At 38.0% G+C, this 21340-nt stretch overlaps 1 protein-coding gene across 2 annotated transcripts in view, besides 1 other annotated feature; it reads right to left on the reverse strand.

The window, feature by feature from the left end:
• The window catches only part of DENND2C (DENN domain containing 2C), an 87200-nt gene that overhangs the window by 36414 nt on the left and 29446 nt on the right, over nt 1–21340 (reverse strand). The window contains exons 4-7 of one of the 2 annotated variants that reach the window (NM_001256404.2): nt 5916–6925; nt 4244–4380; nt 3724–3836; nt 2632–2802 (exon numbers count right to left, since the gene is read on the reverse strand). In NM_001256404.2, coding sequence (NP_001243333.1) covers nt 2632–2802; nt 3724–3836; nt 4244–4380; nt 5916–6721 — 1227 coding nt within the window. In that variant the 5' untranslated portion in view covers nt 6722–6925. The remainder of the gene's footprint in view (nt 1–2631; nt 2803–3723; nt 3837–4243; nt 4381–5915; nt 6926–21340) is intronic. The other variant, NM_198459.4, reaches the window with a different exon arrangement.
• Nucleotides 2271–2471: a silencer, noted in NCBI's record as "peak379 fragment used in MPRA reporter construct". NCBI's record gives its function as "represses an SCP1 promoter by STARR-seq MPRAs in K562 erythroleukemia cells {active_cell/tissue: K562}" and the evidence as "EXISTENCE:reporter gene assay evidence [ECO:0000049][PMID:32103011]".

The following is a 21340-nucleotide window of genomic DNA, read 5'->3' on the forward strand; positions in this document are numbered from 1 at the left end:
TAAAAGGAGGAATTGATCAGTTTTTCCATAAATACTTTTCTTTTTTTCTTAAAATTCCAAGCTTTTCTTAAGTATTAGTCCTGATTTAACATACTTAATGCCTAGAATTACAATTGTTAGGAACATTATATATGATAACAACCAATAAAGTTGCCCGAGAAAAACGCTCTTGTATTCTCTTTTGTCCTTGTTTCTCTAGCCATCCTGACAATCGACAGGCAATGAATCAGTCCAGTGCAAACCACTGTCCCCTGCCAACCACTCACCCCCCAAAAAACATGCAAGAAACATATGCTTCCAAAACACAGATTATTACAACATTTTTGGATGAGTTTGTGCTCTTAAAGATTTTTATCACTGCAATTCAAGTGAAAAATTGCCAATGTTCTTAAATATTACTATTACAAAAAACAAGAGAATCTAAAATAAAAAAGTACTAAGGGCTATAGGAAAGATGTATGGAAATAAATATATATTTGGGTTACATAATGACCCAAAATAGCATAATTATTAATTTGCATTTGAAAAGTAGAATCAAAAGTATATTCAAGTATAAAGGAAAGATAACTGTTCTAAAACTATGCGATAAAGTGATAAATTTAAATTTCTGTCATGAGCTAGGAAGAAGAGCCTTCTAGTTACAAGAAATACTGTAGAATATTCTTCCTAAGAAATGACGGAAATCATACTGCTGTACACACAACACAAACAATAAAGGTAGTAGGAAATGTACTCTAGCAAACAATCCCACACAGGCTTCCACAGCAGGGAAGGAAAGGAAGAGTGGGGAAGAGGCAAATGGACTAGATCAGTGAGGTGAAACTGTGAAGCAGTTTCCCTTCCAGGGACAGCTGGAGGCATTAAAGGGGAAATAAATGAAAATGGACTTTCTTATAGAATGTTTTCTAGAAGATACTCCAAAGCCAAAATTTGTATTGCATAAGGGACATCCTAAAAAGATTCAATCCAAGGAGGGTCACAGGTAGAAATGCTGTCATGGCTTGTTCCTGCCTGACAATTAAGAATTCATAATCATTTTTTTCTCCTCACTTCTCCAAAAACCTTCAGAAAAAATATTAGAAAGGGAAAAGTTAGATCCTATCACCTACAATCAGATACAGAACAAGTTTTGAGTACTTGAGATCCATAATACATAAAACATTGAGGCAAGAAATCGAAAGCACTATAAAGCTTCCCTGGGTCTCATTAAACTCTATAATCCATAATTCCTAAATATTTGTTAATGCCATTATAAGAACCACATCTTAAATGCAATCCCTTAAGGTGTTTGCATTCTTCTCCCTATTAACACACAATTTGTTGTTGCTGGGCCATGTGGGAGGCTGCTTTGTTGTGCCAACATGATCTACCAGAGGGCGCAGCTACTGCAAGATGCCTGGCAGTTCTTTAAGACTCTTTTTAAAAAAATATTCCTCATGATGCACAGAAAGATAAACAGTTACATTTTTTTTTTCACTAAGAGAGATCAGTTTAGCTTTAAAAAACCTCTATGTCTTTAACTTTTCACATAGTAAAGAGGAAGGGGCAGAAAACTGATAAGAATTAAAACTGTGGAATAGAATATTTCCCAAGGAACAAATCAACAGTTACTAACCCAAGAAACAGATGTGACTTTTGTTTAATGTTAAAATCAGGTACAAAAATTACATGTTAAATGAACACATATAGCTAATTCAGATGGGATTAAAGAAGGAATAATATTTAAGTGATCTGATTTCTTCACTACAGCAGAGTATGTGCATAGTATTTTGACAATCCTGAAAACACCCTGCATTACAGAAGAACAAAGTAACAGAGAAAGTTTAAAATTTTTTCATATAATTTCTTAAGTGTTTCTCCCAAAAGAAAATGTCTATTAGTCAGGTGCAGTGGCTCACACCTGCAGTCCCGGAACTCTGGGGGCCAGGGCAAGAGGATTGCTTGAGGCCAGGAGTTCAAGACCAGCCTGGGCAATATAGCGAGACTCTGTCTCTACAAAATAAGTAAATAAATAAGAAAAAAAAATATATGTCTGCCTGCAAGCAATCTCAATTTCTTCATTTTGGTTGCAATGCTTCTAGTAGAGATGATGTACAGACTTACTGCCTTTTCTCCCTTGAGGGAGAAGTCATTTATTTATTATGATTGCTGATAATTTCCATTCCCAAGTAATAGATTTGTTTTTTTCTTTGGAAATTTTTGCCCCAAATAAATGGCATATACTTTTTCATTACTGAAAATCTGTAAACTCAAGCACAAAACTGAACTCACTTTGGCAATCATATGAATGAGTGAATTAGAACAACACTGAAGCCATCCTGAGAGAACGCCCTTTTATATAAGATTCTGGTGCTTCCTTGAAATAGGCAGACGATTTTAATGAGAGCTAAGGTAACTGAAGTGAAGTCCCCATCTAAATCAATTTAAAAATCCACAACGAAACTCTGGCAAAAGCCATTCATGCACTTCTCTAGCATGAGCAAAAATTTAAAACATAACGCTGCCTTCTAAGTCTTCTAATCCCAGTAGGTCAGTTCTAACCTATTATTCATTTCGGTCTAAAGTTTACTTATTCTCATTCATGGAAATGCTGAAGTAAGAGTCAAAGAATGAAAGCACTGGAGTCTTTACCCTTGGAAGATTTTTCCTTTTCGTGTTTGCAACTTCACCAGCTCGGAAAAGCTTCCATTCCGTTAAAGTGACCGGCAAAGTTGTATCTTTTGTAAGCTTTGACCGCAAATAAGCCTGTGAGTTCTTTACTTCCATAGTCTTCCGGTGAAGGAACTGAGGTTTTGGAGGGAGCTAAAACAGGAGAAGATGTACTGGTAAGATCACCTAGTTTTGCTGTTGTTGCTTGTTTGTTTGTTTGAGATGGGGTCTTGCTCTGTCGCCCAGGCTGGAATGCAGTGGCACGATCATGGCTCATTGCAGCCTTGATCTCCTGAGCTCAAGTGATCCCCCCACCTCAGCCCCTTGAGCAGCTGGGACTACAGGCACGTGTCACCACATCCGGCTAATTTTTTCTTTTTTTTGGTAGAGATGGGGTTTTGCCAGGTTGCCCAGGCTAGTCTCAAACTCCTGGGCTCAAGCAATCCTCCCACCTCAGCCTCCCAAAGTTCTGGGATTACAGGTGTGAGCCACTGCACCTGGCCAGCATCATCTAGTTAATGCCTGTATTATCATACAAAGTCAAAGCTATTCCAGAAATGTATTTATCCTATATTTAATTTAAAATCATTTCAAATGAAGATAACATAATTTCTTTCTCACCATTTGTAAAGAAGTTTCTCAGGTTTCTAATCCAAAGTTCCACTACAAGGTAATCAAATTCCCAGAAAACAATGGCTCACAGTTTTCATGAACTCTAGGGAGCCTTTGCTTCTAGGCGTCTCACATACTTTCAGGGACTAGGAAGGTAATTTAATGGCCAAAGATTGATGTAGACTAATAGGGGGAGTGGGAACTATAGTAAACTGAAAAGTTCATGGCTGTCTAAAGGCATATATATTCAATTATTTTTGAAGTGTTAAAACAACAACCAAAAAAAAAAAAAAGCTGTATGTTATCCCAAAAAACAAAACAAAAATTAAAAAAACTACCACCAACATTAAAACTTACATTTCAGTGCCTCTTAGTTCTGGACCCAGTTAAATCCCCTTAATCTTTTTGTAGATACCATGAATAAGATTCTAATGTTTTCTTCAATTCATTATCTGGTTATACCTTGGGTGCTTTAAAAGCACTTTTAGCGGGTGGTAGCTTCCATGCTGAAGGGGATCTCCACATAGGTAAAGGCTGCACTGGAATATCTTCATATGGATTTTCTTTGGTGGGATCTTAAAAAATAATTTAAAAAAATGTTTACATGAACATAATTAAATGCAAAGATAACCACAGCTGGCAAAAGAAAGAAAAAGCTAACTATGTTCAGCTTTCTTATTCTACATTGCTGTAGGGATGTGGGTTTCCAGATCAACAGCAATTTAAGCTTATGGGTTCAACAGAGCTAAAAGAATTCTCAAAATAATATATTATAAACATGTACTTATAAGCTGAGCAGTCTATCACATTAGTTGTAAAATTCATTAGAGAATAAAATAATTTATACACCAAACGTTTCCATGCTAAAGAGAAAAACCTAGAGCAATATATGCTTGATTATAGAAGAAAATACCATCCTACAATTAAGGGCTTCACCAAATATATAATCACTAAATTTAACTGCAAAGTTGTCAACACCTACATATGATATCTTCATAGATATTGTCCTCAGACTGTGTGTAATAAAGTGCTGACCCAGAATTTCTTCCAAGTTCTTCACGAATCGTCTGTGAGTTCCGATTTCGAAAGTGCTGAATATCCTCAAATTCAAAGGATTTCCTTAAAAAAGGAGATATATTTTAAAGTTATATCTTTCAAAACTCTAATCTTTATTTTTTAAAATTTTTATTTATTTATTTGTTTGATTGTTTGTTTTATTATTATTTTTTGAGACAGAATCTCAGTCTGTTGCATAGGCTAGAGTTCAGTGGCACAGTCTTGGCTCACTGAAACCTCTGCCTCCCAGGTTCAAGCGATTCTACATTGCTGTAGGGATGTTGCACCTGGGATTAGAGGCGCGTGCCACCATGCTCAGCTCTTTTTTGTGTTTTAGTAGAGATGAGGTTTCACCATGACCGCCAGGCTGGTCTTGAACTCCTGACTTCAGGTGATCTGCCTGCCTCGGCCTCCCAAAGTGCTAGGATTACAGAAAATTCTAATCTTCTTTAAATTGGTATGGGAGACAGAAATAAATAAGTACAGAACTAGTGTGCAAAATTACAAAGGTGTTTTATCAGAGATCTAAGAATAATGAAGTAGGCTGTGCCTTACGAACACCATGAGAAAATTGGATGCTTGTAGCCAATCACATTCATGTTCTTCATTGGGTTCCTTTATTAAGCTCACTTTGTAAGGAAAAGTGGGGCTGAGGCCAGCATGCCCTAAATGAAGTGGAAGAATGTTACTGCTTCCCTACAGATTTTTTTGAATTTAATTTTTATTTTATGTTATTTTAGAGGCAGGGTCTCATTCTGCTGCCCAGGCTGGAGTGCAGTGAAGTGATCATGGCTCACTGTAGCCTGAGCTTTTGGGCTCAAGTAATACTCGCAAGTAGGTAGGACGACAGGAACACATCACTACACCTGGCTAATTTTTTCTTTTTTCTTTTTTTTTATAGAGACAGGGTCTCACTATGTTGCCCTGTCTAGTGTTTGGCTGGTCTTGAACTCCTGGCCTCAAGTGATCCTCCTGCCCCAGCCACCCAAAGTGCTGGGACTGAGCCACCACACCCAGCTCCTATAGATTAATTTTCTTTTTTTCTTTTTTTTTTTTTTTGAGACTGAGTCTTGCTCTGTCAGCCAGGCTGAAGTGCAGTGTCACGATCTCAGCTCACTGCAAGCTCAGCCTCCCAGGTTCAAGCGTTTCTTCTGCCTCAGCATCCCATATAGCTGGGACTACAGGTGCACACCACCACGCCCAGCTAATTTTGTATTTTTAGTAGAGACAGGGTTTCACCATGTTGGCCAGGCTGGTCTTGAACTCCTGACCTCAAGTGATCTGCCAGCCTCAGCCTCCCAAAGTGCTGGGATTACAGGAGCGAGCTACCGTGCCTGGCGCTGGCCCAGATTCTTAAAGATATATTAATAAAATGGAAGGTGTTCTGATGCTCTTATGTCAACAGATTATCTTAGCTATTACTACATTTCTACTTTTTTCACTTCTTATTTTCCTTCCACATTAATCAACACCTGCATGTTCAAAGCAGGGGCATCACCTAAGCTGGGAAATGGAAACTGGTTTGAAAAGGAAAAAGAAGCTCAATAATCCTGTAAGGAAAATACCTACAAGTCTTTATCTGTAGGATAAAAACATACCTTTTAGATCTTCCTCTGATTTTTCCACCATATTTCTTTGGTTCAGGTTCCTGAGAAGAGGCCAAAGAAGATTGTGCACAAGAGTTATTTTCACAGTATTTTTTGTCACAGTTTCTTTCTTTATACGGCGTAACACCAGATTCGGATAAATATCTGAATGTCCTACGAGGTTTTGGCAAAGGATTTATGGAAGGTCCACATTCTTGCCCCTCAGGTTCAGAGTAAATATTTTCTAAGCTCTTGGTTATTCCGTATGAACTATCCAGAACTCTGAAGTTCAGTTCTTTTTCTGAAGAGTCACAATGTTCTAAAGCCAAATTTAAGAGTTTATCTGGGGGAAGTGCTTCTATTTTCTTCCACAGTATTTGTGAGGTATAGAAGTTTCCTGGAGGTAATGAAGTCTCTGGATCTAAGACATCTTCTTTACAGCTTTCAATTTCTTTGACCCGAGAACATACCCAGTTGGATTCTGATTCATTTTTAAAGAAGTGTGTATCGTCATATTCATGTTTCTTATTTTCATTCTCACTTTGATCATGGCTTTTGGTATTTTCATTTATATCTAGACCCACATTTTCACGGCTGGTTACATCCAAGTTTTTGCTCTTTCTCTCAGCTATAGGATTTTTCTTAAGACGGATCTCTTGGTGACAGTTATATCTCACTCCAAAGTCCTTTGGACACCACTTTTCTGGATTAGATATACCATTAGCCCTTCCTTCCCATTGAGAAATTTTTTGTTTGATGTTTTTGCAGTGGCTTCTTGACAGTGTCTGAACAGTAGTACGAGAAAAACCAACATCCATGTTCCCAACTGGGTGAATGACAAGTGATGAATCTTACAAAGGTTCCATTACAAGTAAATGTGAAATATTGTATTCTTTATCCTGTCAGAATCCAAATGATTCCAGTATTTTCCCTTCATGTTTAACTTGTAAATCTCTTTGTAAAAAGAAAATTTTGATCAGTGATCCTTGTTGAAAATGGCTACAACCTGATCTTGAATAATCCTGTTAAAATGACACAAAAATATGTTAACACATTTTATAATTTCCTAATTTAAAACTCCACTAAAACATTGCCCACCTATCCCTACATAATTCATATACATTGCATATGTAAAAACATACCTGTAATCTATTAAGTAATTCAACTACATAAAGGCACTCCTAAGATGGTGAGATAATAATACTAACAAAACATTATTTGTGGTATTTTTCAGATTGTCAGCTTTAATGTTCTGCCATATTTAATTTCCTAAAGTTAGGTAGAATGAGGTTTTAGAAGAGATTATACATAGCAGTATACAATATTTTTGTAATAAATTAATTCTTTTTTTTTTTTTTTTTTGAGACAGAGTCTCGCTCTGTCACTAAGTCTGGAGTGCAGTGGTGGTGATCTTGGCTCACTGCAACCTCTGCCTCCTGGGTTCAAGTGATCTTCCCCCTCAGCCTCCTGAGTAGCTGTGACTACAGGTACATGCCACCACACCCAACTAAGTTTTTGTATTTTTCGTAGAGACGGAGTTTCTCCATGTTGCCCAGGCTGGTCTTGAACTTCCTGAGTTCAAGCAATCCACCCCCTTGGCCTCCAAAAGTGCTGGGATTACAGGCATGAGGTACCGCACCCAGGCATAAATTAATTCTTTATGAAACCTTCTCTTAATGAAACAAGGAGCATATATATACACAGAATTACATCTCAAAACCCCCCCAAAATTTATATATGTCCACAGCAAGAGCCAGTTAGCATGGAAACACACCAATAGCCAACTTTCTCCTCCTGTCCTACGTTGATTAATAATATCAGCCCATCACATAGCCTATTTCAACTTTACTATTAGCAGCACAGGATTCCATATACACTAAAGACAACTCAAGGTGCCCATGAACTATCAGTTGCCTTAAAATGTAATAACCTATTTGACGACTGGACTTCCCACATCTATGCTACCACACCCTTGACCCAAATCAATACAAATACTTACAGCCACTGTCACATTCCTTCCTTTCACACAGAGGCTTCATTCAGGCCCATAAACCGTTTCCTTATATGTAAGCTTCAGCGGAAAACTTTTCCTACCAACTGAGTGAAGACCTGATCTCAAGTTCTACTGTATACTTGTTAAAAATAGCAGTTGATTCAAAACTTCCTGAGGCAGGGATCATCCTTCCTTGAGCTTTGTCTGTGTGGCCTTGATTAACAGGCAGGAAAATATCTTAGCCCAGCTCTGTCAGTATAGCTGACCAAAACTGTTATATACAGAAAGCACACAAAAGTGTTATTCTTGGCAGAGCAACTGCTAACTAAGAATTCCATCAACTTTTATTTAAACCATTCCTACATACAAATTTCTGGGAAAACCAGCTTTGCCAGCAAATAAACTTTGGTGATAGTCTGACGCAAAAAAAAAAAAAAAAAAAATCCAAAAAACTTTAAGAAATTAAGCTCATGTGGATGAAAAAAAATAACTATACCCAAAGCCCAAAGCACCAAAACTGTTGCACAGAACTCTTGATAAAAAACTAATGCATACAATTTAAAGATCTAATCTGCTACTGTTGATTATTAAAACTGAAAATTCTTTTCTTGCTTCTGGTATTTATAAGGAATTCCTAGGATTTTAGGGTGTCTTTGAGACTCAGGTTTTCTTCACTATAGACAAGACAGGACTTTTTTCTCCAGCTCCTGGGAAGTCCCTAGAGGTTTTTGGTGGTCCTGGTTAACCCTTTCTTTATTTTTCTCTGGTTAATGTGTCTTAAGTGTGAATGGCTCAAATTGAGAAAAAAAAATGAAAATTGTCAGGGCTAAAAAAAAATTTTAACTTGAAAATTACTAGCAACATGGCTGGGTGTGGTGGCTCATACTTGTCATCCCAGGACTTTAGGATGCTGAGGCAGGAGCATCACTTGAGGCCAGGAGTTTGCGACCAGCCTGGGCAATATAGTGAGACTTCATCTCTACTAAATAAATAAATAAATAAATAAAATTAGCTGTGCATGGTGGCATGTACCTGTAGTCCCAGCTACAAGCTGGGAGGCTGAGGCAGGAGGACTGCTTGAGCCCAGATGTTGGAAGCTGCAGTAAGTTATGATCACAGCATTGCAATTTAGCCTGGGTGATGGAGCGAGACCCCAACTCAAAAAAAAAAAAAAAAAGGTAAAAGTCAAATGACTGGCAACAAATGGCTAAATCTACGGAATTCACACACAAATATAAATGATGTGTACTGATGGTGTTTCAGTTGAACAGAGTAGCACAGCAGGGTAAGACTCTCCTAAAATATGTAGGTATTTTCTTTCTCCTAAATGTATGCTTTAATACATGATAGCTTTCGAAAAATGAACTATTTCAAAAATAAAAGCACTTTAATGAATTTTAACTAGATCTATGACTGTTACTGATAACACAGAAAATCTTTCTTAGAGCTGATTTCACAGTCCCAATTTTTGCCAAATTAACTTATACCCTTTATAATGTGGCTTGCGTGTTCTCACATACAGGTTGTGATTTTGTCCCGTGTAAAAATAAGAGTTGCTCACTTCAGTTATTTTCTTACAGGAACCTCACATCTGTCCCTTTAACCTAATTATATTCTGAGCCACCTTGCTCCTCAGCGCCTCCTCTCCCATGGCTCTCCTAGCCTGCAAGATCTTATTCATCCCATTCCTCATCTTCCCAGTTTCTTGCCTTAACCTCCATTATTGGTAGACATCCTAACTCCTAAGTGCTGGCCCAACTTTCAAATCCTAGATCTCTCCCAAGATTTATCTTTTGAAAACTTCCTAAAGCCAACTTATTTGTATACTTGTCCTAGAGACTGCTTTCTCAAGCTTGCTTTAACAGTTCCAACAGAAACAGAGGTTGAGAAAATCTAACAGTTTCAACAATTTTAAAAATCATTTTGTCTTTTCTTTTAACAGCAGGAAATGAGTCAGAGACTTTTCCAGCTATTAAAAACTATTGAAGTCAGGTAGGATTCACAAAAAGAGAAGGTAGAGCACACATAACCACAATGGACAATCTCAACAAAAGAAACAACAGCGGTCATTCAGTTCCTCACCTGAACAATAGAAGTATAAACATAAAAACTCAAGCATGACTTTTTTCTTTTATGAGATGAAGTTTTGCTCTTGTTGCCCAGGCTGGAGTGCAATGGTGCAACCTCGGCTCACTGCAACCTCCGCCTCCCAGGTTCAAACAATTCTCCCGCCTCAGCCTCCTGAGTAGCTGGGATTACAGGTGCCCATCACCACACCCAGCTAGTTTTTTATGTTTTTAGTAGAGACAGGGTTTCACCATGTTGGCCAGGCTGGTTTCGAACTCCTGACCTCAGGTGATCCACCCGCCTTAGCCTCCCAAAGTGCTGGGATTACAAGCGTGAGCCACTGTGCCTGGCCAAGCATGATTTTTAGAAGCATAATCAAACAGCATACTTGGAGATGACTCTTAATCATGTCCCTTTCTTTTTATTTTCTATTGCTCTTCTGTGTATTTATTTTCATCCAAGAAATATACCAACTGTAGTTTATCAGCTTAAAATATAATTTATAACATAACCTATCATATATAGAATTCTGTGTTTTTAACATATTAAGAGAAACCAATCTGAATTCACTCCAGTAAATTAAATTCTCTTTGGGAAAGAGGATACTGATGTTCTATTTTACCAATTCAAGTCTTGGATAGGGCAAGTTTCTCACTCCAAATCTTTTAAAATATTTTATTTGATTAGATATAAGCATCTGGAAAAATAACTTGGAAGAATTTGGAACATTCTAAAACCTGATTTACAAAATAATGAAGGGGTACACTGTAAAAATAGTGAATTTTACCTTAATTAAAAAGAAAACTGGCTGGGCGTGGTGGCTCACGCCTGTAATCCCAGCACTTTGGGAGGCTGAGGCGGGCGGATCATGAGGTCAAGAGATTGAGACCATCCTGGCCAACACAGTGAAACCCCATCTCTACTAAAAATTAGCTGGGCATGGTGGCATACGCCTGTCATCCCAGCTACTACTCAGGAGGCTGAGGCAGGAGAATCGCTTGAACCCGGGAGGTAGAGGCTTCAGTGAGCCGAGATCGCGCCACTTCATTCCAGTCTGGCGACAGAGCGAGATTCGTTCAAAAAAAAAAAGAAAAGAAAAGAAAAGAAAATTTATGAAAGGGACCAGGGAAACTTCACTTCTGGCCATGATGGAGTAGCTGAACTAGGCTTGCCTTTCCCACATCAATAACTATAAAACTGGAAAAATATATAAAATAAGTGCTTTCAGATACTGGATAACAGACAGCTTAAGATTGTGATCCCTGAAAGAAGAGAGGAAAATGAGGCAGGTCCTATGATGGCCCAGCTTTCTCCCTGGAAACTCCAGAAAGTAGGGTCAGGAGGGAGAACCCAAACAGACATGGCAACCTTACCGAGTTGAGGATAACAAGATTGGAATATGGAGACTGAGGCAAATGGAATTTTCAGGGCACAGTATCAGAAAAGAGAGCAACATAGAGAAAAAGCTCCAGAAATCTACATAGAGTCCCCTTGAATCTTTGGTTGAATACTAAGTTGCTAATGCATAGGATAATACTACATGAGGCTAGACAACAAACAACTAGTGGAGAAAGAAAAACTATGGGAGATTTTTAAGCTAACCCAGGGTTCACTAGCTCTGGGAAACCTTCAAAGTCCAACAACAGAGGAGCAACCTCATTGAATGCCCAGGTAATTCAGAAGAGAAACAAGAGGTCATGATTTACCAGCAGGATGAAATTAACCCTAGAGTAAAGACTATCTTAGAGCCACCCTAACAAGGATTAAGTTGATTCTTATGAAATTTAAGTACTCACAAAAACAAAATTCAATAATTTTTACATGAAGACAACTAAATCCAGACACCCAGCAATGTAACATTTAAAATGTCTGGGCACTGTGGCTGATGCCTGTAATCCCAGCACTTTGGGAGGCCAAGGTGGGTAGATCACCTGAGGTCAGAAGTTTGAGACCAGTCTGGCAAACATGGCGAAACCCCATCTCTACTAAAAATACAAAAATCAGCTGAATGTGGTGGCACATGCCTGTAATCCCAGCTACTGGGGTGGCTGAGGGAGGGGAACTGCTTGTACACAGGAGGAGGAGGTTGCAGTCAGTCAAGATAGCACTCAAGCCTTGGCGACAGAGCAAGACTCCATCTCAAAAAATAAATTAAAAAAAATAAAATGAAATAAAATAAAATGTCCGTCATCTAATCAAAATTACTAAACATACAAAGAAACCTGAAAATGAGACCTATACCCAGGAGAAAAATCAATCAATAGAAGTAGAACCGGGCCAGGCGTGGTGGCTCACGCCTGTAATCCCAGCACTTTGGGAGGCCAAGGCAGGCGGATCATGAGGTCAGGAGATCGAGACCATCCTGGCTAACACGGTGAAACCCCATCTCTACTAAAAATACAAAAATTAACCGGGAGTGGTGGCGGGTGCCTGTAGTCCCAGCTACTCGGGAGACTGAGGCAGGAGAATGGCCAGAACATGGGAGGCGGAGCTTGCAGTGAGCCGAGATTGTGACACTGCACTCCAGCCTGGGCAACAGAGCGAGACTCTGTCTCAAAAAAGAGAAAAAAAAAGTAGAACCAAAATAATACAAAATAAGAGAAATCGAACCAAAACAACAGACATGATGGAATTGGCAGACAGGGACTTCAATTCAGCTATTATAAATATTTTCATAAATTTGAAGGAAAACATGAACATAAGTAGAGTAATGGAAGATATTTAAAAAAGACAACAAATAAAACTTCTGGAGCTTAAAAATATACTATCTGAAATGAAAAATTCACTGGATGTGTTGAATAGCAGATTTTAGTTGTTTTAGAAGGAATGACCAATAAAGTTGAATAAGTAGCAATAGAAACTGTTTTTAAAAAGCCTGAAGCACAAAGTGAAGAAAAAAAGCTAAAACAAAGATGAAAAACAGAGCTTCACTGGGACAACATCAAGTGGTTTTGCTTTACCCTACATATAACTGGAGTCGCAGAAATGAAGGGGTCGGGAGTGGGGACAAATATTTCAAGTAATAACAGATGAAAATTTTCTAAATTTGATGAAAACTCTAAACCCAAAGATCCAAGAGGCTCAACAAACCCCAAACAGGATAAACACAAAGAAAGCCACAAGGAAAACCATAACCAAGTTGCTAAAAACCAGTGATAAGGAGAAAATTCTTAAGAAGTCAGAGAAAAAAAATATATATACAGGGGAAACAAGGTAAGCCAGAAAACAAGGAAAATTTTTAAAGTGCTAGGAAAAAAACCAACAACTGCAAATCTAGAATTCTAGACACAATCTTCAAAATGAAGGTGAAATAAAAATGCTTTCAGTTAAACATAAGCTGTAAAAATTTGTCAACAGCAGGCCTGCATTCAGAGCCAGTGACATAATTTATGAGTCCAAGTACAAATTGAAAATGTGAGATCCCTGTTCAAAAGGCAGTAAAAGTGCCTTTAAAGGTACACATAAAGTTTTTTCTTTTCTTCTGCAGCCTTGCTTTCAACTTGTGGGGTTTTTTTTAAATTTTCTATTTAACATTGTTTTAAGTAAACAAAGAAAATTATGCTATTAGCAGAAATTTTACACTTATCTGTATTTAGTGCCCATTTTAAATGCAAATATGAGCACATTCAACTCGTATGCAGGATCACGTAAAAATTTTAAAGTTCTTCAAGTTGAAGAAAAAATGATACCAGATAGATATCTGGATCTAAAAAAGGAATGAGGAGAACAAAAAATGGTACTTGTGGATAAATATACAAGGCATATTTTTTTATTAATCTCTTTAGAAGATGACTTGACTAAAGTAAACATAATGCACTGTGAAATTTACAACAATGTGGAAATAAATGTAAGACAAGGCATAAAGGTAGGGATGGAAAATTGTGTATGGTGTTGTAAGTTTCTCTAACCCACAATGGAACTGAATTAAAAATCACTTTATGCCGGCGCGGTGGCTCACGCCTGTAATCCCAGCACTTTGGGAGGCAGAGGCAGGTGGATCTTGAGGTCAGGAGTTCAAAATCGGCCTGGCCAACATTGTGAAGCCCCGTCCCTACTAAAAATACAGAAACTGGCCAGGCGTGGTGGTGCCTGCCAGTAATCCTAGCTACTCAAGAGGCTAAAGCATTAGAATCGCTTGAAGCAAGCGAGGTTGCAGTAAGCCAAGATCGCACCACTGTGCTCCAGCTTGGGCAACAGAGTGAGACCCTATCTCAAAAAAAAAAAAAAAAAAAAAAAGAAAAAGAAGGAAGGAAGGAAGGAATGAAGGAAGGAAGGAAGGAAAAAGAAATCACTTTATATATGATATGAAGTGGTACTTTATACATAATTTGAAAGTGATGTGTTAAAGTTGTGTTATAAACCCTAATGAAACTATTAAAAGAAAAAAAAAGGAATGGCTAAGAAGTCAACAAAGAAAGATGAAATGGAATTCTAAAAAAATAATTGATGCCAAAAAAGCAGGGGAGTTGGAGGGGGAACCCTAAGAACGGTAACAACAATAGTAAAAAACTCACATGGAACAAACAGAAAATGAATAGCAAGATGGTACACTTAAATTTGACTATATCAATAATTATACTGTATATAAATGGGTTAAGCTCTAAGTACAAGGCAAAGATTATCAAACTTAATTTAAAAAGCAAGACCTAACTCTATGCTGTTCATAAAAAAATGCACTTTGAATACAAAGAGATAGATCTGTTAAAGAGACATAAACAGTAAACACTATCATAAGAAAGCTGGATTGTCTATGTTAATATCAGACAAGGTAGACTCCTGAGCAAGAAATAACAGCAGTGATAAAGAAGGACATTACAAAGAAGGTAATAGGTGCAATTCATCAAGAATACCTAGCAATCCTAATGTTCATGCACCTAATAAGAGTTTCAAAAATGTAAGAAGCAAGAAAATATCAGAACTAAAAAGCCAAATGGACAAATCCACAATTTTAGTTGGGGATTTTAACTTTTCAACAGTAGTTGATAAAACATATAGACAGAAAATCAGTAAATATATAAAAGATTTCAATATCACTATCAATCAACTTGACTTAATTGACATTTTAGAACACTTTACTCAACAAACATAAAGTACATACTCTTTTCTTTCTTTTTTTTATTTTTTTGAGACAGAGTCTCACTCTGTTGCCCAGGCTGGAGTGCACTGGCACAATCTCGGCTCACTGCAGCCTCCGCCTCCTGGGTTCAAGCAATCCTCCTGCCTCAGCCTCCTGAGTAGCTGGGACTATAGACGCGTGCCACCAAAAATACTCTTTTCAAGTGTGCATGAAACATTCACCAATAGACCATATGTTGGGCCATAAAATAAGACTCAATAAATTTTAAAAGACTGACATCATACTGAGAATGTTCTCTAGCCCAAAATGGAACTGAAAGAGAAATCAGTAACAAAAAGATATCTGGAAAATCCCAAATTATTTGGAAACAAATCTTTTAAAATAAAAAAGTTTAAAAACAATAAGTGAGGATACTACTTCTTGATATTTGAAACTGGAACACGGCCGGGCATGGTGGCTCAAGCCTGTAATCCCAGCACTTTGGGAGGCCGAGGCGAGCAGATCATCTGAAGTTAGGAGTTCAACACCAGCCTGGCAAACATGGCAAAACCCTGCCTCTATTAAAAATACAAAAATTAGCCAGGCGAGGTGTCATGCACCTGTAATCCCAGCTACTGGGGAGGCTGAGGCACGAGAATCGCTTGAACCTGGGAGGCGGAGGTTGCAGTGAGCCGAGATCATGCCACTGCACTCCAGCCTGAGTGATAGAGTGAGACTCCGTCTAAAAAAAAAAAAAAAAAAGAAAAAAAAGAAAAAAACTGGAACACACTTTACCTCATAAAAGTTTCAAATTACTATTTTAAATTTCTCTCTAGGTTAGGTGCTCTACCTTAACATTTGTTTAAATTGTCCCATTGCTAATCCTGCATAAAATGTACCAACCTTTTCAACATTGTGGTCTTCAACATTCTATACTGAAATTTGAGTGTCATCATTCCACCTAATAATATCTTTAAAAAGATCAATATTTAAAGTTCTCCCTTAAGAAGAAAAAAAGCATAAACCCAAAGAAACTGGAGGAAAATAAAAAATGAGTATTAATGAAATAGATGAACATAGGATAAAAATCAATGAAACAAAAAACTGCTTCTTTGAAAACATTAGTAAATTGACAGATCTCTAGGCAAAGCGAACAAAAAAAGAGTCTCAGGCTGCAGTGGGCTATGATTGCACCACTGCATTCCAGCCTGGGTGACAGAGCAAGACCGTCTCTTAACAAAAAATAGGAGAAGAAAAAGAAATAATACCAATCATATACAAACTCATTCAGAAAACAGAGGAAGTAGAAACAATTTCAACTCATTTTATGAGACCAGCATTACCTTACCAGGTAACTGGGCAAAAAACTTAGAAAAGAAAAATACAGAATAATATAACTCATGAACATAAATGCAAAAGTCCCTCTAAAATATTAGTAAGTCCACTGGGCGCGATCACTCACACCTGTAATCCCAACAATTTGGGAGGCTGAGGAGGGCAGATCACTTGAGGTTAGGAGTTCGAGACCAGCCTAGGGAACATGGTGAAACCGGTCTCTACTAAAAATATAAAAAGTAGCCAGGCATAGTGGCGTGCACCTATAATCCCAGTTTCTTGAAAGACTGAGGTAGGAGGATTGCTTGAACCCAGGTGGTGGAGGTTGCATTGAGCCAAGATCACGCCTCTGCACTCCAACCTGGGCAACAGAGCAAGACTCCATCTCAAAAATAAATAAATAAATAAAACATATAAAAATATATAATATATATATAAGCAAATCAAACTCATAAATAAATATACAGAAAGGATACCAGAATGCAAGGTTGCTTTAACATTAAAAGTCACCATGTTTATGGGATAAAGAAAACTATGTATTTATCTTAATAGATGAAGAAAAAGCATTTGAAAAAATTTACACTTTCAGCAAATCGGAAATAGAAGAGAATTTCCACAATCTGATAAAGTATCTATAAATAAAAAAACCCACTGCTGATATCACAATAAGTGGTAAAGACCAAATACTTTTTCCTTAAGAATGGGAAAAAGGCAAGGATGTCTCCTCTTACCACTTTTATTCAACATTGTAAAAGAAGTTTACAAAGGCCAGGTGCAGTGGCTCATGCCTGTAATCCTAACACTTTGGGAGGCCAAGGAGGACAGATGGCTTGAGCTCAGGAGTTCAAGACCATCGTGGGCAAAGTGGTGAATCCAGTCTCTACAAAAAATACCAAAATTAGCCAGGCATGGTGGTGCGTGCCTGCAGTCACAGCTACTTGGGAGATTAAGGTGGGAATGGGGGGAGGACTGCTTCAGTCTGAGAGGTCGAGGCTGCAGTGAGCAGATCTCGTCATTCCAGCCTGGGTGACAGAGTGAAACCCTGTCTCAAACAACAGCAACAAAAAAAACATAATGAATAAGGCAAGAAAAACTAAGTAAAAGGCATAGAGATTGTAAAAGAAGTAAAGCTGTTTTTTTTTTCCTGCAAACAATATGATTGTAAATGTAGGAATTCCTAAGAAATCTATGTTACAAGATATGAGAATTCATAAGAGAATTTAGCAAGGTCTCAGAACACATGGTCAGTATAGAAGAATTAACTGTGCCTCTATATACTAAGAATAAACGATTGGAAAATGAAATTCAAAATAACAGGTACAACAGCATAAAAACATGAAACATTGGCCAGGTATGGTGGCTCACAACTGTAATCCCAGCACTTTGGGAGGTCAAGGCAGGCAGATCACTTGAGGTCAGGAGTTCGAGACCAGCCTGGGCAATATGGTTAAACCCTGTCTTTACTAAAACAAAACAAAACAAAAATACAAAAAAAAACCTTAGCTAGGCGTGGTGGTGCATGCTAAAAGAGACTAAAATGTGGTTTTGCCATGTTGCCCAGGCTGGTCTTGAACTCCTGGCCTCAAGTGATCCGCCTGTCTTAGCCTCCCAAAGTGGTAGGAGTAGCTGTAGTCCCAGCTACTCAGGAGGCTGAGGCACAGGAATCGCTTGAACCCAGGAGGTGGAGGCTGTAGTGAGCCAAGATCGTGCTACTGTAACTCTAGACTGGGCAACAGAGCAAGACTCTGTCTCAAAAAAAAAAAAAAAAAAAGAAAAGAAAAGAAAAAGAAATACTTAGGGATTCAAGATGTGTAGACTGAAAACCACAAGCTAATGTGGAGTAAAAAATAAAGAATAACTACATACACAGATATTACACATTAATGTACTGGAATATTCAAGATTTTTTTTTTTGTTGAGACAGAGTCTTGCTCTGTCGCCCAGGTTGGAGTGCAGTGGTGGGATCTCGGCTCACTGCTGCCTCAACCTCTCGGGTTCAAGCAATTCTTGTGCTTCAGCCTCCCAAGACTGCAGGTGTATGCCACCACACCTGGCTAATTTTTATATCTTTAGAAGAGACTAAAATGTGGTTTTGCCATGTTGCCCAGGCTGGTCTTGAACTCCTGGCCTCAAGTGATCCGCCTGCCTTGGCCTCCCAAAGTGCTAGGATTACAGGCGTGAACCACTGGGCCTGGCTAGGAATATTCAACTTTGTTACTATAAAAAATTATCTCAAAATTGATCTACAGATTCAACACAATCTCCAGATTGTTGAATCTGTAGATTCAACAAAATCACAGCAGGTTTTGCTGTAGAAATTGACAAGTTGATTTTCAAGTTTATAAGGAAAGGCAAAGAATCTAGATTAGCCTAAATAATTTTCAAAACGAAGAATAAAGCTGGAGGGCATAGACTACCTGATTTTAAGACTTATAAAACTAAGTAATCACAACAATGTATATTAGTTGACAGGACAGACAAAAGGATCAGCAGAAGAGCACAGAGTCCAGAAATGAACCCACATATATATAGTCAATTGATTTCCACAAAGCTGGGGAAAGAATAATCTTTTCAATAAATGGCATCAGAACAAATAGGTATCTATCTGTAAAAAAAAATGAACCTCAACCTTTACCCATAACATTTACAAAATTTAAGTTGAAATAGATCATAAACCTAACTACTAAGAGCTAAAACCACAAACTTTCTGGAAGAAAAAAATCTTCACGACCTTGAGGAAGAAAAAGATGTCTTAGGACACAAAACACATTAACCATAAAGAAAAAGAATGGATACATTGGACTTCATCAAAATTAAAACCTTCTGCTCACTTAAGACATTGGCTTAAAAATTAAATGGAGCTGGGTGCAGTGGCTCACACCTGTAATCCCAGCACTTTGGGGGGCCCAGGTGGGAGGATCATTTGAGCCCAGGAATCTGAGACCAGCCCTGGCAACATAGTAAAACTCCGTCTCTACAAAAAATTTTTTAAAAAATTAGGCGGGCATGGCGTTGTGCGTCTGTAATCCCAGCTACTTGGGAGGCTGAGGTGGGAGGATTGCTTGAGCCTGGGAAGTCAAGGATGTAGTGAGCGATGATTACACTACTGCACTCCAGCCTGGGCAACAGAGCCAGACCTTGTCTCAAAAAAAAAAAAAAAAAGAGAAAAAAGAAAAAAAAAGAAAGAAAAGAAAGAATATATAGACAGAAAATCAGTAAATATATAAAGACTTGAATATCACTATCAATCAACTTGACTTAATTGGCAAGAAACAAAGAAATAAATGGCAAGCCACAGACTGGGAAAAAATATCTGCCATACATATATCTGATGAGGACTTAAATCCAGAATAAAAAATTATTACACCTAAAAAGTCAAACAACACAACTAAAATATGAGTAAGATTTGAACACTTTACAAAAGATTTATGAGTAGCCAATAAGCACAATAAAGCACATGAAAAGATGCACACCATCCTGAGTCACCAAGAACATGCAAATTAAAACACAAGATTCTAAAATTACACACCCACTAGAATGGCTAAAATTTAAAAGAATGACAATACAAAAGATTGGAGCACCTGCAACTCTCAAGTATTGCTAGCGTAACATGGTGCAACCCCTTTGGAAAGCAGTTTCTTACAAAATTTAACATATAATTGCTATATGATGAAGCCATTTGGCCAGGCGCGGTGGCTCATGCTTGTAATCTCAGCACTTCGGGAGGCTGAGGCCGGTAGATCACGAGGTCAGGAGTTTGAGACCAGCCTGGCCAACATGGTGAAACCCCACCTCTACTAAAAATACAAAAAATTAGCTAGACTGGTGGTGGGTGCCTGTAATAATCCCAGCTATTTGGGAGGCTGAGGCAGGAGAATTGCTTGAACCCATGAGGTGGAGGTTGCAGTGAGCTGAGATTGTGCCATTGCACTCTAGCATGGGCAGCAGGAGGGAGACTCCATCTTGAAAAAAAAAAAAAAAGAATTTTTATTTCAGTTATTATATTTATCAGCTCTTAATTTTCTATTTGGTTCTTTTTTTCTTCATATTCCAACTGTATTTTGAAATATTCCATCTCTTCATCCATTATATTAATTTTTTTTTTTTTTGAGATGGAGTTTTGCTCTTGTTGCCCAGGCTGGAGTGCAATGGCTTGATCTCGGCTCACTGCAACTTCGGCCTCCTGGTTCAAGCAATCTGAAGTGCTGAAATTACAGGCATGAACTACCTGGCCACCACTGCCTTTTTAATTCTATCAATATTAAGCTGGAAAGAGCATGGCTGCAGTTTCACATAGTTTTGGTTCACCTCTGTAATCAACTCTGGCAGGGCATTACTGCATAATATGTGGGACTGCATAATATGTGGGACTACACAATTTCTTTGTATCTCTCCTGTCCTCCTTCAATGCTGCTTTTGTAGCAAAAGCTGGGAGAAAGAGGACACAGCAGATAATTCCTGGGCTAAATGGTTTGTTTTTCCATTTGAGATTCTTCCAGATTCCAATCTACATTTCAATTTCAACGATTTACACCATTAACTAAGGCTTGTCTGATTTTCCCTTGGCTCCATAAAGTCTTACCATCTATGTCAGAGCTACTTAAATCCAGATCATGTGCTTGTCCCAGGTGTAAAAGTTCCTGTGGCCCTCTGCTCATTTATGAGAGGCTATTTTTACTTTGAAAATCAGTTCATGAAAGTTTATTTGCATCCACTGCTAGTCACTAGCCCGAGAGAAATATATGATTTTTATTTTGTCTAGACTGTTCTTGTTACTATCAGAGCAAAGGTATTTTTATGTCCTTCTACATCCTAAATGGAAGTCTTGAAATAATCAATGAAATAAGATAGTGTAGAATAGAATACATCAGAGTACACTGCATGTAAGTATTGCTTCAGAAATGTTTGTTTCAGAGGTGTGTGCATGTGTGTGTGACCATGGTGGGGTATGGTCAGAAACTTGTGGAAAGCGTCTGTTCTAGAGAC

This window comes from Homo sapiens, chromosome 1 (assembly GCF_000001405.40).
Source record: "Homo sapiens chromosome 1, GRCh38.p14 Primary Assembly".
NCBI classification, from domain to species: Eukaryota; Metazoa; Chordata; class Mammalia; order Primates; family Hominidae; genus Homo; species Homo sapiens.